Below are 17908 nucleotides of genomic sequence, written 5' to 3'. Positions count from 1 at the left end.
TAAGAATCACAGAACAATCTAGCTGTCCCTTCCAACAAACATAATCCCCAAATGCCTGCAGTCTTTCTTTATCATTAGCTCTCCCCATTAAAGATGTAGACACTGTCAGTGTTTTCTGCTTAACACAGCCATCAACTGAGCAGGGAACTGAATGTGGCTGCCTTTATAAATCTGCCTGTCTAGATGTGGGCCTGGCTCTCATCCTTCTTCCTAAACTAGGAGCAATGCAGAGCTTGCTGCAACCTACAGAAGCAGGATCTGGAAGAAAGGGAGGGCAGACATATTAACTGCTGCCTACCTCTCTCCGTATCAGTGCTCTAGAGAAAACCCAAGCTGAACTTTAGCTCATTCTTAGGGCAGAATTCCCAGAATTACAGAAGCCGTGTGGAGAGGTAATTGAATATACTTAGATTTAGGTCTTAATTACCTTTTGGATGGGAGGTTATCTTTAGCATGGTATTTTGATAATACAGTTTGACCAATTATTTTCTGTGATCTCCCATCATGTTAAGGAAATACAGACTGTAATTTTGAGATAAGTGAGTCCTGTGGGTATAATGTTCTAAAAGTGTACCAGTGATGGCGGGTTTTAGTTATATTTTCACCGGTATTGAAGCACTCCCAGATGACTGGCTTTGAACAATGCCTTGCTCATCTTTTGCTTCTGTGTCTGTTGGATGTAAGAGACAGTCATGTGATGTGGGAGGATAGGGAAGGCTTTAGCACTTAACTGTATGAAAACTGTGCTTTAAAGCCTTTAGCACTTAAATTTATGGGAACTGTACTTGAAAACATTTTTTTAAGAAAAGAAAATTGAACTAATACCACCCATCTTTAGTTATACACACAGAGCATTAAGGTGGAAATAGAATGCATATAGAAGACATTCACAGGCTGGAAAAATACAAAAAAAATGCTCCTGCAAGCAAGCGTTAAAAGCCAAGGCTGCGCCCCGAAGTGCCCAGGTCTCCTGCCGCACTCCCCTCGGATGGTGAGAGTGTCCACCGTTACAGCTATGCGATGCATCAGACACCCAGTGTGTCCTTGCGAGGCTCAGCAGACCAGAAAGGAGGCCCACCCAGGCCTCAGAGAGTCCAGAACCATGTCTAGGACATTCTTTGGCCAGGCGAGAAACCTCTATCATGGGAACAATGCGGGAGAATTGTCACACTTCAGATGAAAGTAGAAACACAATCATGTTAGCCTGCTGACAGTTTCCAACACAGTGCTTCATGCGCTGGGCTGGTGAGGTCCAGGCCACATTCTCCTTTCCTCTGTCCCTGCAGTGCACCTTCCTACCTGACTCAGCACTCTCTGGTCACTGGGTTTGGCTGCTGGAGTCTATGATGCACCCTGTCAGGGTGGGAAGATCAAAGAGTCACGGTGTGAAGTCAGGTCCTGTGACCCAGCAGAGTGACAGTCTGGCACATACCCTTCCCTCAAGAAGTGAGTGGAGATTATATTAGTCCGTTCTCACACTGCTAAGACATACCTGAGACTGAGTCATATATAAAGAAGAGGTTTAATGGACTCAGTTCCACATGGCTGGGGAAGCCTCACAATCAAGGTGAAAGGTGAAGGAGGAGCAAAGGAAGGTCTTCCATGGCAGCAGGCAAGAGAGTGTGTGCAGGGGAACTGCCTTTTATAAAACCATCAGATCTCGTGAGACTCGCTCATTATCAAGAGAACAGCACAGTAAAGGCCCACCCCCATAATTCAATTACCTCCCACAGGGTTCCTCCCCCAACACATGGGGATTATGTGAGCTACAATTCAAGATGAGATTTGGGTGGGGACACAGCCAAACCAGATCAGAGGCGATGGCTTCTCACATGACCCTTGCTTCACCCTGAGCAGGGTCCCCTAAGGAGAAGTTGTGCCCTGATGGGGGCAGGTGCTCCACCTTCTGCAGGGGCGTACCTTGGCTTTCAGTGCTCCAGAAACGTCACCAGGGATTACATTTTATGGCACATTCAATGCACGGGTTTTGTGTAGTTTCATCTGTGATCTGATTCCCTTTCCTCTTTTAGTGATTTTGGGGAATGTTTACTGTCTCAGGTCCTCACCATGTTTGGGTTTCTTTGATAAGCGTAATGAAGCTTTACGTGTATGGGCCCTGAAATAACAAACTGTTGCCGAATCACGTTTCTTCCAGGATTGTTTCATTGGAAGGAGATTCTGTCACCTGTTCCATGATCTCCACGACTGGGTCTTGAGATGGGTGAGGTGAAGTAACTGGTGAGGGACAGCCTCCCATAAAAGGTGACTTTATGCTGAGTGTTGAAGGATGAGTAGAGGTTGGAAAGGTAAAGAAGGAAGCATCGGACATGGAAAATCCTCCAGTGAAAGGAAGAATATCTTGCAGTGAGTTCTGGAGGTGGGAGATGGTTCTGAAGTGGCATGTGAGTGTCAGATTCAGAAAGCTTTTCCCATCTCCTTAGGAATTGGCAGATGGTCCTGAAGAGGCATGCAAGGGTCAGATCCGGAAAGATTTTCCCACCTCCTTAGGAATTGGGAGATGGTTCTGAAGAGGTATACGAGGGTCAGATTCAGAAAGACTTGCCCGCCTCCTTAGGAATTGGGAGATGGTCCTGAAGAGGCATACGAGGGTCAGATCTGGAAAGATTTGCCTGCCTCATTAGGAATTGGGAGATGGTCCTGAAGAGGCATGCAAGGGTCAGATTCAGAAAGGTTTGCCTGCCTCCTTAGGAATTGGGAGATGGTCCTGAAGAGGCATACGAGGGTCAGATCCAGAAAGGTTTGCCCACCTCCTTAGGAATTTAGACTTCCACCTGAAGGCATGCATTCTGTATTGTAATTTGTTTCTTCAGTGTTCCTCTCTCCAACAAGATACAGAATTCCCTGAGAGGATGGGAGGTTTCTGCTTTATTTCTGTACTAATTGCAGGTAGTGGAGAGCTGGCACACATTAACTTGCCAGTTTTTCTGTTATTTAAACAAATATTTGTTGGATTCAAAGGGCTCAGCAATAAGATTATTAGTTCTTCATATAAACACTGTAAATATGGGGTGAACAAGAACTTGCAGGGGAATGGGTTTCCCCCAAACACTAATCTACAGTAGTTTTCAGAGATGTTGTAACAATCTAAAATTTGATGGGCAAACACTGAGATTTTAAGACAAAATCTATGTTAGGTTTTTGTGTTAGGTATTAAAATGTCTTTATTCATTGCTTTCACTTACTACCTATATAACTTATGTTACATTTCTGGAGAACATGAACCATAAAAGTTCTGATTGTTCTAAAATTTGCATTTTTCATTTGTTCATTTGCTCCAGGCACTATTGAGGTTCTATCAGCTCACTGCTTGACTATGATATGTGTGTACAAACTGAACATCTTCCTGGTGTGCAGCTGGAAAAACAACAGGCAGGGAATCCCCAAATGTAGTTTTCTTGTTGACTGATGTTAAAAAAATATGAGAGATAAACAAAAGTCAGAGTAAGCTGTATAAATCTGTTTTCATACCTTAGAATGTTCCATCTCAACCTAAAGAATCTTTAGAATTCCCATTCATCATACATTTATACCTTTTATAAAATATTTATTATATTTCATACAAGGCAAAATAACTTCAAGTTAAATTTATTTATTTGAAAAAAATTTATTACATACATCACAAAACCCCAGGTTACTTTAAAATCTAAATGGATAATGGAAATGAAACTGACTCAATATGGTTATTTTAACAGAACCATCTGTTCTTCTTTTACTATTTTTACCGTGTTTCCTCACTTAGAAATGTTTTCTGGGTTGGAAGAATGTTGTGCATCGGTTCATTTCACGATCTTGCTCCTGACTTCCATGCAATCACTGATGTGCTATTCCAGGTAAAGCGTATCCACCTCCACAAACACTGTCTGTGGGTGTAAAGCTTCTGGGCTTTGGTGATTATCAGACAATCCAATTTGGTCGTGAATCCACTGAGCTCACTGTTCATACAGAATGACTTTTCTTGCAAAATGAAAACTCTCCCAAAATTATGTTCATAAAAAAAATTTAGAATCCCCAGGACTTTCACTGGAAAGACCCCAAGAGATTATCTGTCAGTTGCCCCAATTAATCAAGGAATTCCCACAACAGCCTTAGGAAACCAGCTACTTCTAGACAATGACTTTGGGAGACACCCTGTTTATTTGTCAATAGTTTTAACTGTTCATCACAGGGTCTTAACTATTGACCAATGAATTTGATAATGTTACAAAAATGTGGTTTCTCCTTTAAAATTCACCAGAAGCAACAGAGAATATACTTGGCAGAACATAACTGTAGGAATTTAGTCCTTGGAATTAACTTTTTGCACAAGGTTATGCAAATAACTTCACAAAATGAAGCGTTTGCCTATGGGAAAAAGATGTCTTCATAGGAATTACTTGAAAGAAAAAGGGCTTCCAAGAGCAAGTTTTTCCATCTTCTTCCATTCTCCTCTTCCCTCCCCACAAATACACACACATCGCAGGGTGGGACCCAGATTTGAAATTATTTTCTCTTCTCTTGTTGTGTATTTACATATTGCCAACACTGTTCACACAAACAGTATGTAAAGAATTAAAAAGGACCAGGCGCAGTGGCTCACGCCTGTAATCCCAGCACTTTGGGAGGCTGAGGCAGGCGAATCACCTGAGGTCAGGAGTTTGAGACCAGCCTGGCCAACATGGTGAAACCTCATCTCTACTAAAAATATTAAAAAATTAGCCAGGCATGGTGGTGGGCTCCTGTAATCCCGGCTATTCCTGAGGCTGAGGCAGGAGAGTTGCTTGAACCAAGGAGACAGAGGTTGCAGCGAGCTGACACGGTGCCACTGCACTCCAGCCTGGGCGACAGAGTGAGACTGGCTCAAAACAACAACAACTACAACAACATCAGAAACAATACTTGCAGCTTATTGTCTGTGCTTTTCTTCAGTTTTTAATCAAGAGAGAAAGCTATTCATTTCTTCTAAGACTTCAAATCATGGCCATCATTCTCTACATTCTATGCAGAATATGAACACTGCAAGACTAAGAGTTTTAATATGAATTTGATATCCAAGAAAGCAGAAAATATAAAGTATTAAATAGAGGCAGGGAGATCAACAATTATAATATTCCAAATATACTGTGTGAATTTACACCAAGGTCTTGACTTAGGTCAAAATCTTTAAAGAAATTATGTATTTTAAGACATTTTATTTCAAATTAAGTTTTGAAAACACAAGGGAACATACAAGTGAAATTCTAAGAAATAATCAAGCATCACTTAAATATGACAATAATCCTGCTAGTATTGATTATGATGATCTCACCCACAGAGAGATTGCTGGGTTCTAGCTACTCCTCTATGGAGGAAATTTTGTGCTATAAAAAAATGAAGCTAACTATAAGTTACATAATCTTTTATTTACAAAGAGTTGTGGGTTTTTTTTGGCTTTGTAAAGTGTAGTTTGTTCAGGAAAGTAAATAACAAAGGTTTATCTTGTATTTTTAATGGTGAAGTGTCCATAATGTAGGGATGGTTCCAGGTATTTAAACCCTGATGGGTCTAAGGAGAATTAAATTATCCTTATGGATTACAGCCCAGAAAAATCATGCAAGGAGAAAAAACAGAAGAGGAGAAATAAACATGAGAATAGTCCTAGACAAAAGGAAAGAAGTGACCAGGCCTGGCACAGTGGCTGACGCCTGTAATCCCAGCACTTTGGGAGGCTGAGGTGGGTGGATCACTTGAGGTCAGGAGTTTGAGACCAGCCTGGCTAACATGGTGAAACCCTGTCTCTACTAAAAATAAAAAAATTAGCTGGGTGTGGTGGCATGCACCTGTAATCCCAGCTACTCAGGAGGCTGAGACAGGAGAATCACTTGAACCCAGGAGGCAGGTTGCAGTGAGCCGAGCTCATGCCACTGCACTCCAGCTTGGGCAAAAGAGCGGCACTCCATCTCAAAAAAAAATAAATAAATAAAAATAAAAATAAATAAAATAGAAGCGACCAAAGCTGGGGCTGTTCTTCAGGAAAACAATTTATCCAGAATAGTTTTTGTGTATTTTGGATGTCTCTTATTTTTCATTTAATAAAAGCTTATTTATCATATTAAATTGAGACAGTTTGGTTTTTATGATGAAGTGTTTACTAATGTGGGAAACATTTTCAACATGTGGGCTCCTCCATCATGGTCCACTTGAGTCTTCTGGAACATAATTTGGTACCCATAGGCCATCTATTCTTTTAAAAAAGCCATATAAACAAACTTTTCACTTTCTTTTAAACTTGCCATGAGAGTTTTTACTTAAGAACATGCTATTGTGTGGTTTAAAAAATCATTTTGTTCTGGTCAATTGTAATGGAATTTGTCTACAAAAATGTAGGCAAGTTGAAGTGGGATTGTTTCTGAAGGAAATTGCTGGATTTCTCTGCATCTATCATGAGCTTGATTCTCTTCTTTTATAGGAACCTTCATAGGAAAAAGCATATTTCACTACCCCCATCAGCTTTGCATTTCATGTGTGTGTCATAGTGTGACTGAGGTGACTGACTCCATAAATAGCATCAAGAGTACATAATGGAACGATTCTCTTCAATGCCAAAATTGTGTGGCTTGCAAAATTTCTAAGTCATTTTCTAGCTTGCTTATTGACCATCAAAGATAAAAGAACACTCAACTTAATGTTATTATGGATGTCTTTTACTTCATTTTATTTCTTCCACAGACTTTAAAGAATGTAGCCTTTTAAGTTTTGCATAGACGTGTATATACACACATATACACACATACATATACACATATAATATATGTAAAATCAATTTTAGATGGAAATCAGGATAGTTCAGACTTGGGACTTTAGCATCCCTGATAAACTTTTATAAAACAGAATCATATAGCCATTTCACGTCGACATAAGTAATGACAAGATAATTAGAATAGAAGTATCTAAAGGAGCTCCTTTTCTTTTGAATGGGAGAATTCTGAGTAGTAACTTACTAAAGCATTTGGCTAAGCATCTATATGTAGGTAGAAAAATCCATACATGGATATAGAATTATTAATAATACTGATTATAACTTATAAAAGCTGATACATATAGAGTATATATAATACGCCAAGCATTCCCAATGTCTCTTCAAAATGATCACCTAAGTCACACATCATTAAGTCCCCCTTAGAAATAAAGGTTGTGAGACTTAGGATGAGTAAGTCCAATGCTTTACTGTGTAGCTACTAAGTGGTATATCTGGGATTCCAACCATGGTGTGTTTAACTAGAAATCCCATATTCCTTTCTTGCTGATGAAGATAAGAAACCTTCTAGGTGGACTGTGGAAAAAGAGAAGCAATCTGAGATAGCAAGAATCTATTCCACAAAAGGGAATAGAACAAGGAGAGAAGGCACCACATTCCTAGTTTAATTCTCACTCCTTCTCAGGGGATGATATGACTCCTACCCCTAAATGTGCATGTTGGCCATTTCTTCTGCAATTTTCCACTTGTCTACGAATATTAATAAACTAATTTACAGTAGTTTTAGTAACCGATGAGTAATTTACTTGTTAGAATTTGTTTTTTAAAAGCCACAATAATGGTAATAGTAACAAAGAAAACAAGCATTGGCCCTTGGACGGGGAGACAGATGGTAGCAGCAGTTTCTCTGACTCTCTTCTACTTGTTATTTGACAACGAATAAACCTCCATAAGCATTCCACTGCTAGAATATATGGCTCCTGGTGTAGGGAGATGCACACAAAAGACTCAGAACTGTGTTTGGCATGGAGGAAGTGTTCAATCAAGGTTAGCTGGATGCAAACGTTTCCACATCAGACAAGCTAACCAATCATCCACTATTGGAGAAATATTGAATGCCTAGCATCAGGCAGTCCTCTTGATTTGGACATCGGAATTTTATGAATGCATCTCTGAGGTTGCATCATCTTTTGATTTTTTTACATGCTATGAGCTTACAATATGATTTATTGTTCGTATCAAAACTTCTAGAAAACTCTGGCACATAAATTGCTGTTTGACTGAGTCTTCCCTGACTCTACATGTGTAGTGTTTTTAGTTTCTGTCTAAATTATGGATTTCATTTTAGTTTTTCTATTGTCAGTTGAAATGCTTATTACACAAAGAACACATATGCCAATGCATTTTCCTTGAGAAAAACAGCAGACAATGTCCTATGTGCCCTCCATTCCCCATTGTGCCCCCACGTACACTGACATGGACTCCTGTTCCTTCTCATTGCTTCTTCTGGTTGGGTATTCTCTACCCATCTTGTACAGGGTATCACATAAAGATGACCTCCCAGAGAATTTATGGAAATTACCTCTTTAAAATTAAGAATCATACACTGGCTTGTGTGTTGTTTTGCTTTTTGGATTTGCTTTAACTAATAGACTAATTTTTAGAGATGTCTGAGATTTACAAAACAATTGAGCAGAAAATATCGAGTTCCCACCTACTCCTTAACCTCCCCACCTCATCTTCACACAGGTTCCCCTATTCATCACATCTTCAATGCAGTGCATTTGTTACCATTGATGAGCCAGTGTTGACACATTGTAGTAAAGTCCATATTGTACATTAGCGTTCACTTATGTGCTGTACACTCTATAGGTTTTGACAAGTATGTACTGACATGTTCTCAGTATTGTACAGAATAGTTTCACAATCCTAAAAATCCACTGTGCTCTGTTTATCCATTCTTTGCCCTTCCCCAACTTTCCTGACAACCTCTATTCTTTTTACTACCTCTATAGTTTTTCATTTTCCAGAATGTCATATTGTTGGAAATTGACTGTATGCCTTTTCAGATACACTTCTTCCACTTAGTAATGTACATGTATATATATTTATATATTTATTTAATATATAAATTTATATTATATATTTATTTAATATATAAATTTATATAATATATATTTATGTAATATATAAATTTATATAATATATATTTATGTAATATACAAATTTATAATATATATTTATTTAATATACAAATTTATATAATATATATTTATATATTTGTTTAATATACAAATGTATATATATATATTTATATATTTGTTTAATATACAAATGTATATATATATTTATATATTTGTTTAATATACAAATGTATATAATATATATTTATATATTTGTTTAATATACAAATGTATATAATATATATTTATATATTTGTTTAATATACAAATGTATATAATATATATTTATATATTTGTTTAATATACAAATTTATATAATATATATTTATGTATTTGTTTAATATACAAATGTATATAATATATATTTATGTATTTGTTTAATATACAAATGTATATAATATATATTTATGTATTTGTTTAATATACAAATGTATATAATATATATTTATGTATTTGTTTAATATACAAATGTATATAATATATATTTATGTATTTGTTTAATACACAAATGTATATAATATATATGTATGTATTTGTTTAATATACAAATGTATATAATATATATTTATGTATTTATTTAATATACAAATGTATATAATATATATTTATGTATTTATTTAATATACAAATGTATATAATATATATTTATATATGTATTTAATATACAAATGTATGTAATATATATTTATATATGTATTTAATATACAAATTTATATAATATATATTTATATATTTACTTAATATACAAATTTATATTATATATTTATATATTTACTTAATATACAAATTTATATAATATATATTTATATATTTACTGAATACACAAATTTATATAATATATATTTATATATTATTTAATATATAAATTTATATAATATATATCTATATATTTATTTAATATATAAATTTATTTAATATATATTTTATTTATATAAGGTATATTTAAGGTTCTTCCATGTCTTTTCATGGCTTGATAGCTTATTTCTTTTTTGCTGAATAATATTCCACTGTAATATTATTTTTAGTATTACAAAACCCTACAGTTTGTTTATCCATTCACCTACTGAATGGCATCTTGGTTGCTTCCAAATTTGAACAATTATTAATAAAGCTGTTGTAAACATTTGAATGCATGTTTTGGTGTACACATAAGTCTTCAGCTCCTTTGGGTAAGTAACAAGCACTGTGATTCCTGGTCTGACCAGGAATTCTAACATATCATGTCTCAGTCTTCTTTTGAGGTTTACTGTGTCTCTTCAACTTATGGTCGTGTGTGTGTGTTTGTCTTTTAGTATGCCTTAGAAATTTGTTAAAGCTGAGTAAACATTAAATGTGAAATGTGTCTCCCTCCTAACTCCTCACCTCCACTTCAGCAAGGCTCTCTAAAATAGTAGGAGAACATGACTGACAAAACGGCATGTCTCAGACATTATTTAAGAAGAAGTCTCTAGGGATACCCAAAGGCAACGGAGGAGCCATAAACAAGGATATCATAGGGAATTTTAGCCTCTAACACATACAGCTATGGCAAGAAGTAAGCACAGCCTCACCCCTAGTCAGATTAACACAAAACCTTGTGCTAAAGGCCTGTTTACCTCAGTTCTTGTTACCAAGTACAACTTATTCAGCTTTTAAAAATTTCTAAGGCATACTAAATACTAAATTTTCATGAAGGGAAATTATTTTATTAGAGTTTAGCAGACTGGAGATTTACTAAAGTCTTACTGATACCAAGAAGGGAAAACACATTTTCATGTTCTAAATAGATCTGCTGATCTATTTGTCTGTTCCAAACAAATACTACCCCCTTTAATTAAAAAAAATTTTTCTTATACTGTACTGTGATATCTGTTAGGATGAATCTCAACTATTTGTTATATTTGTTGTATATTATGGTGTCTGTGCACATTTATTCCTCTATATTAATTTTAGAAGCAGCTTGTCAAGTCCCTTAATGATAAGGGCTTGATTGGGAGTAAATGAGGAAATATTTTGGATTTTAAAAAATCAAGAAAATGGATATTTTACAAAATTGAATCTTCCATTGAAGGTGGCATGTATCTCCAGGTACTCAGCTTTGTTTTTAACCTTCCTAAACTTAGATTGTTTTCGGAATCTGGTATCCATGTTTCATGGCCAAAAACTAACAAATTTCTACTACCTTTGCTTCTTTAAATGTTCTAAGTCTTTTACAAAAATGTTCTTTCTTCATGAGACAATATTGCTATAAATATATATTTTCCAACAATCACTTATCAAATAATAAATAATTACTTACATGTTGTGATAATAAACTAGACTTTTATTCTTGTCATTACTTATTGAACCTCACACAGTGCTTCTTGCTACAGCCTTTCCTTTAGTAATATTCTCAGAGAAGGTCTGAGTTATTTAAGCATCTTTATCATTTTGCTCTCAATTTAAGTGATAATTATTTTCAGTATGGGAAATGAATCCCAAATTTCTCCCCATACAGATATCTTTTATGCTTTTAATCAGCATACTTAAAATTATTAAGATAATACAGTATTCAAAATATTTAACATACTTCTTATAACTCTCATATTTGATCTAAAAACCAATCTTACAATAATGTTATCAAGGTTGTCTGAACGCAGAGCAGGCTTGGATCAAAGACTTCACTGTAGCCCTCCCCATGGAAACCTATACTCCACTTAAAAATGTTTTATTCACTGAAATTCTGGCCAACTGTGTTCTAACATAGAATACTTCGCTTAAATATAGGCACATTTTTCCCCAGTTGCCTATAAATGTACAATACATTTTTATACAGAAAACAAATTATGTACTCAATGTCTACAGAATTTTCTTGTACTTCAGTCTAGACATTCTACTAAAAAGTAAGGTGACTTTAGGATAGGGTGATTATTTTCCTGCGATACAGTAATGATTATTTGTTGCTTTTTCCCCATGCCTCTTAATATAGTTTCAGAAATATTCTGATCAAAGTTAATTTAAAGTTCTAAATGATCATTCTCATCATTTAGAGTTCATGTGGTCAACTCTACTTCTGCCCTTTGAAAATCAGAATATATATATTTTTGTTTTCCATTTTACACGATTTTAAATTGATCATTAAAATTATTTCTCTAGTATTATCTGTATCTTTTTAGTGTTATAAGAATATATTAAATCTACATTAATTTAAATTATTACTTTTTCTCTATCTCTTCATCTAAGCTGGAATTCAGTATCCCTTTAATAACGTAAGGTCTGGCCGGGCGCGGTGGCTCACCCCTGTGGTCCCAGCATCTTGGGAGGCCGAGGCGAGCGAATCACCTGAGGTTGGGAGTTTGAGACCAGCCTGACCATCATGGGGAAACCCCGTCTCTACTAAAAAATGCAAAAATTAGCCAAGTGTGGTGGCGGGTGCCTGTAATCCCAGCTACTTGGGAGGCTGAAGCAGGAGAATCACTTGAACCCTGGAGGCAGAGGTTGTGGTGAGCCAAGATCATACCACTGCACTCCAGCCTGGGCAACAAGAGCAAAACTCCGTCTCAAAAAAAAATTAATAAAAAACAATAATAATGTAAGGTCTACTGTGAAAAACCTAAAGAACATTCTTCTACATAAAGATGAGAGCAGGATAGTATTGATAATCATACGTTGTTTATTTTTACCAATATTTCATTTTTTTACAACAACCTCTTGGAATAACCATGAAAAAAAACCAGCTATCTATCTATCATCTATCTATCTATCTATCTATCTATCTATCTATCTATCTATCTATCATCTATCTATAAAGGTGAGGTAGAGAAGTTAACCAGCTTGATTCAGGTCATATAAAGCTTAGAGCATGACATCATGAACTCAAATCCATGTCACACCTACAATATTGTTTTATTGTTTGGGTAACTAAAAGAATATTGGTTGTAGAAAAAGATACATAAACTTCATATTCTATTAAGCAATTTTGCCCATTCAGTTAAGTTATATAAAACCCAATAAATGGAATCACTTTTTCCTGTCTTTTTCTTTTTATTGTCTCTTTAAAAGCTTTAGTTCCTTTTTAAAAATCACACTTGGGTCATTATCAATGCTTTTTGCAAGCATCAGCTCTTTCTGGGTTTTAATTTGATGTAATTCATTAGTCTTTCTGACACACCTTACAGGTTTGCACCACTCTCTGAAACTGCCCTTGATTGAGTAACCTCCTTGTTCACTTTTCTGACTTATTCTTCTAAAACCTGAGCTCTCCAGTGATTTGGGAGATTTACCCTCATTGGTGACTTGAAGTTTCTTCTTCTTATCTTCTTTGCTAGAATAACTTCTTGTTAAACAATCAGAACTCATTGTGTTTCCTCTCTTCTTCCTGAATCCTATTGGCTTTTATACATTTTAGGAGCAGAATTGAACTAAAGAATAAAAACATGTATTTTTCATGGGAAATTTTCTCTTGGTCCTTTTATTGACTTTGAAAATGGAAAGAAAAGAATGAGAAAGAAAAGAAAAGAATAGCAAAGTAAAGAAAAAATTCTTTTTAAAAAGCCCATAGTTAATGATTATGAATCTACTATAAATTTCTTATTAAGTTCTCTTTAAGCTCTACTGTAGATACATGATCCCATTTTGGTTTTTCATATTTGAGTCAATAGACCATAACTTTAAATGTGTAATTTTCCCCAGAGTAGTGGAAAGCTCAATTCCATATTACCAGTATTATTTTGCAATCAGACTTCTAGATTTAAGTTGTACCGGGGTGAAATTATGATGTAAGATTTAGCAAGCAGAAGTGAAGTGCAGGGCACCAACTTTTGTTCCAAATGGAAGGAAGTTTGGAGGTCTAAGTACAATTATTATATTCTGTCTGGATTAATTTCCTATGTCTAGTTACCAGCTTTTAAAATAGAAAGATCACCGTGATTGTAGCAGTAGTTTAATTACCAGGGACCGTGGTACAGCAAACACATCATGTTTCATGCCTACATCTCAGTAATTCCAAATGCAGTGAGCTTGGGATGAATGAATGAAGTGATCAGTGTTCTCTCCTTCTCATCCTGCAGTTATCCTGCCCATTCCTAAGCATCTAATTTCCAATATTCAATTCCTTTGTGTTTAAAATCTTAGTTTCTACGATCTGCCCTGAACACTGGCATTCAATGAGTTTTCAAACTCAGCACTGATTACTACTTATTTCTAGAAACTCTGTTTTGTTATTTTGAAATTCATCGTTTTCCCAAATGTTCTGTTCTTTTCTTAGGAATTCTTTTTATATTGACATACACAGTCATTTTTAAGAGGTATTTTGTTGTATTACCACCTAAAAGAGTTGTATGTATTTTATAGGTAGCATGCTCTTTCATTTCTGCTGCTGTTTTCTCTGGCTTACCTTCTGGGTGTGCTGAGATGGAGAGCAGCGGAGTGGACAGTGACACGCGTCTCTACCGCACCTAATCCTGTTGAATCTCTCCCGCACCTAATCCTGTTGAGTCTCTCCATCAGTGGCACGTCCTTGTGGCCCTCAGGAGGTCACGGGTGAGTTCTGCAGGCCCACTCAGGAGCCTCTCACTGCACAATTCCGTAACTGGTGGGTCTGCTGGGGGCGCCATGGCTCCCAGTTCCTCTCAGCTCCAGCCTCCCCTCTGTGGTTGGAAGCTCACTCACTACAGGCTCCTTCGTTACATGCTGGTTCCAGCAACGTGGTTCAGGTCTCCTGGTTCATGGGAAATCTCTGCTTGGTCATGTGGAAACAGCCCAGGTCACTCCGTGACTGTCCCATGGACATCTTGCTCCAGCTCTGGAGCCTGTCTGCTCACACCGGCACCAGGGGCGAGTCAGCGAAACTGAGAGGCCAGCAGATGTTGACAATGGCAGGAGACCCTGGACTTCTCATTGTGCAGACGTGGTGACTTTTCTGGAATTCCACTTGCGTGTTTTTTTGTTTTGTTTTGTTTTTGAGGCGGAGTCTCGCTATTTTGCCCAGGCCGGACTGCAGTGGCGCGATCTCGGCTCACTGCAAGCTCCGCCTCCCGGGTTCGGCCATTTTCCTTCCTCAGCCTCCCGAGGAGCTGGGACTACAGGCTCCCGCCACCACGCCCGGCTAATTGTTTGTATTTTCAGTAGAGACGGGGTTTCACCGTGTTCGCCAGGATGGTCTCGATCTCCTGACCTCGTGATCCACCCACCTCGGCCTCCCAAAGGGCTGGGATTACAGGCGTGAGCCACCGCGCCCGTGTTTTGAGGAGGAAGGTCAGAGCAAGGCGCCTCCCCGGACAGAAGAAGTGCGAGACGCAGCCCCTCCCGCAGCAGGTGTGCAGCTCTGCCCGGGTTCTCCTTCCCTCTGCTCCGCTGCGCACAGCGGCTGTGGTGGGAGGACGCCCAGGCCACTCTCATGAAACGCTTTAGCACTGTTTAGAATTGTCGTTACAGGATGACTTTTACCCTCTGTTTTGCACTTTATAGTTGTTTTCATAGGGTTCCTCTTCACCGAGTTAGGTGTTTTTTCCATGTAAATCCCATGGGAATTTAGGTAATTTACCTATTTAGAATTTAGAATTTACCTATATGCAAATCAAAGGGCGGGTTATGAGAACCCAGGCAGGTTTTGCATTTTGCATCTGTTTTGTTAGGTGCATTGCCCACTGCTAATTTTTTATATTAATAGGAGTCTTGCCTCACAACGATACATATTTAGAATTCTCCCCTTGAGGGAAGTTCAAGACTGTGATTTTCTTAAAAGCAGTTTACTATTTTTTTATTTATTTTCTCTCAGAGCCTAGGCAGTCAGACACACTTTCTTGTTGGACTCCTGTACTGATATGGAGATGCGTTTTTCCCTGTCACCATTTTGCTGAAAGTATAGCCTTCTATAGTCCTGGGTTAATACAGGTACTGCAGGACAGCCCAGCCCTCAGATTGAGGCTTAGTCCTGAGTGTTCTTGGCTTAGCCCCAAAAAGAATTAAAAGGCGAGGCAATGGTGTTCAACAGGAGCTTTGACTGATGCGGCTGTGCTCAGCCTCAGCGGAGGTCCCACTCCTGGCAGAGCAGGGCTGCCCCACAGGCAGTTTGTCCAGAGAGCAGCTCAGAGGTGGGTCTGCACTCATATTTATGCCCACTTTTACCTATACTCAAATCAAAGGGCGGGCTATGAGAAATGTCTAGGACCCTAGTAGCAGAGTTGTGTCCATGGAAGCGGGTGATAACTTTCCGGTGTTGCCATGGCAATGGTAAACTGACATGGCACCCTGGTGGTGTGTTTTACAGAAAGCTGCTTCATCTGGGACCTGTTCTAGCTAGTCCTCAATTTGGTCCAGTGTCCCAGCCCCACCTCCAGAGTCAAGTCCTGCCTCCTACCTCATAGGGTCTTGGGCTTCAGTTCCAATCCCACCACCACATCTTCAGGAATATCAATATATATGGAGTGGCTCTTCTGTGCCAAGCATAGTTCTCCCTCTGGCCCCAGGGCTCTGTTCTTGTCCCTCAGACAATAAAACACCAGCCCTTGAATTTATATTCCCAGCCATCTACCCTGTCCATCCAGGTAACTTTCCCTCTCAGAGCATCTGCAGCATTTCACCTTTACTTATGAAACATTAGGGATTTCTTCCTTTGTCTTTTGTGTTCATCTGAACATTAAAAATGTTTTATCTGGGGGTATTTAAAAGCTACAGGAAGATTTCAGGTAACTTAGCCTGGCATTTTATGATCCAGAAATCATTATTTCTTTGCAATTACATTCTCATAAGCATATTTTAAATGAAAGATGGGCATCCATGATGTAATTAGCAAATGTTAATGTGATAAATTCTTATTAATTTTGATTTCTAAATTCCGATATAGAGTTAACTCAGAAATTCAAACTCGGAGGTTATTGCTGTTTTTCCATGTGTGAATAAAGATTTTACTCTGAGAATTAATGATATAAACAAGACTATATTAATACACTTACCTAAATAAAGAAAACAACTGTTTGTAGAAGCACTTAGAAAGCTCTATTTATGTAAAAATAGTGGTGTGTTAATTACTTATCATTCTTATCTCTTTATTAAAGCTTGTCTAAAAATTAGGAATTAGGAAAACCTTTTATTTTATCATGTCTTAATTTCATATATGATAATATTACAGATCTTTGAAAAATTATCTAACTCACATGTTCAATGATTCTATTCTCTTCTTCAATTAATCTGAATTTATAGGTTATTATTCTAAGAAAATTAAAATACAAACTCTTAATTATACATATACAGACAAATATATCTATGTATATAAATATATTTTTTACATAAGAAAGATTTTTTTCTCCATCCTAAATTGTATTTAAAAAGAAATATTTTGAATCACAAGCTATGTTCTCCCTAAGGGGCCCTTCCTCCTCCTGACTCTCTCTCTCTCTACCTCCCATCCTTTGTCACCCGTTATCTCCCTAAATTCAGTTGGGAACATTTCAGAAAGCTATTAACTAACTTTTTAAACTTTGATATTATGTAATATTGATTGAGTTAAATAAGATTTATGCAGAACTTTCTATAGGATTTTAGATTCCTGACCCCAGCATTAATTTGAAGTTCCTTATCATTGAAAGAGCCTCGGTATTGATATGGAAATAGGAACGCCGAGTTCCGATGTCTTCTGCCTCCTGCTGTCCTTCTTTCAAAAGCCTGACCATGGCCGCAGTTCTGCTTTGCAAGCAAAGATAAAGTTTGTCCAAGGTCACACGGAAGCATGTGGCCTGGTTTGCACCTTAGCAGTTACAGCTCACTGATTCATTGATAAGGTGAAATATATTATTAGTAAAATAAGAACCAAGACTACCTCTCCCACTCCCACAAACAAAGTATATGATTAGTGTAATATTTTTTAATTTGTTGCAAAAGAGAATTTTAATTTTAGTAGTACCAGTTAATATTTCAATACCTCCATTTTGTGGATGAGAAAAAAAGTTTTGTGAAGTAGAATGATCTCATCAATTTATAGTGATAGAATTCATGGAACTGAGGTCACTGCACTGCTAAATGAATGTTCAATCTT

At 37.0% G+C, this 17908-nt stretch overlaps 1 long non-coding RNA gene across 4 annotated transcripts in view, besides 1 other annotated feature; it reads right to left on the bottom strand.

Moving 5' to 3' along the window:
• Positions 1–17908, bottom strand: part of LOC105376350 (uncharacterized) — a 116889-nt gene that overhangs the window by 25545 nt on the left and 73436 nt on the right. The window lies entirely within an intron of this gene.
• Positions 17180–17779: an enhancer, noted in NCBI's record as "OCT4-NANOG hESC enhancer chr10:2617610-2618209 (GRCh37/hg19 assembly coordinates)". NCBI's record gives its function as "activates a minimal SCP1, AML or CMV promoter by ChIP-STARR-seq in primed H9 embryonic stem cells {active_cell/tissue: H9 hESC(primed)}" and the evidence as "EXISTENCE:reporter gene assay evidence [ECO:0000049][PMID:30033119]".

The sequence above is a fragment of the Homo sapiens genome, chromosome 10 (assembly GCF_000001405.40).
Source record: "Homo sapiens chromosome 10, GRCh38.p14 Primary Assembly".
Taxonomy (NCBI): domain Eukaryota; kingdom Metazoa; phylum Chordata; class Mammalia; order Primates; family Hominidae; genus Homo; species Homo sapiens.
This window is presented reverse-complemented; position numbering and strand designations above follow the sequence as displayed.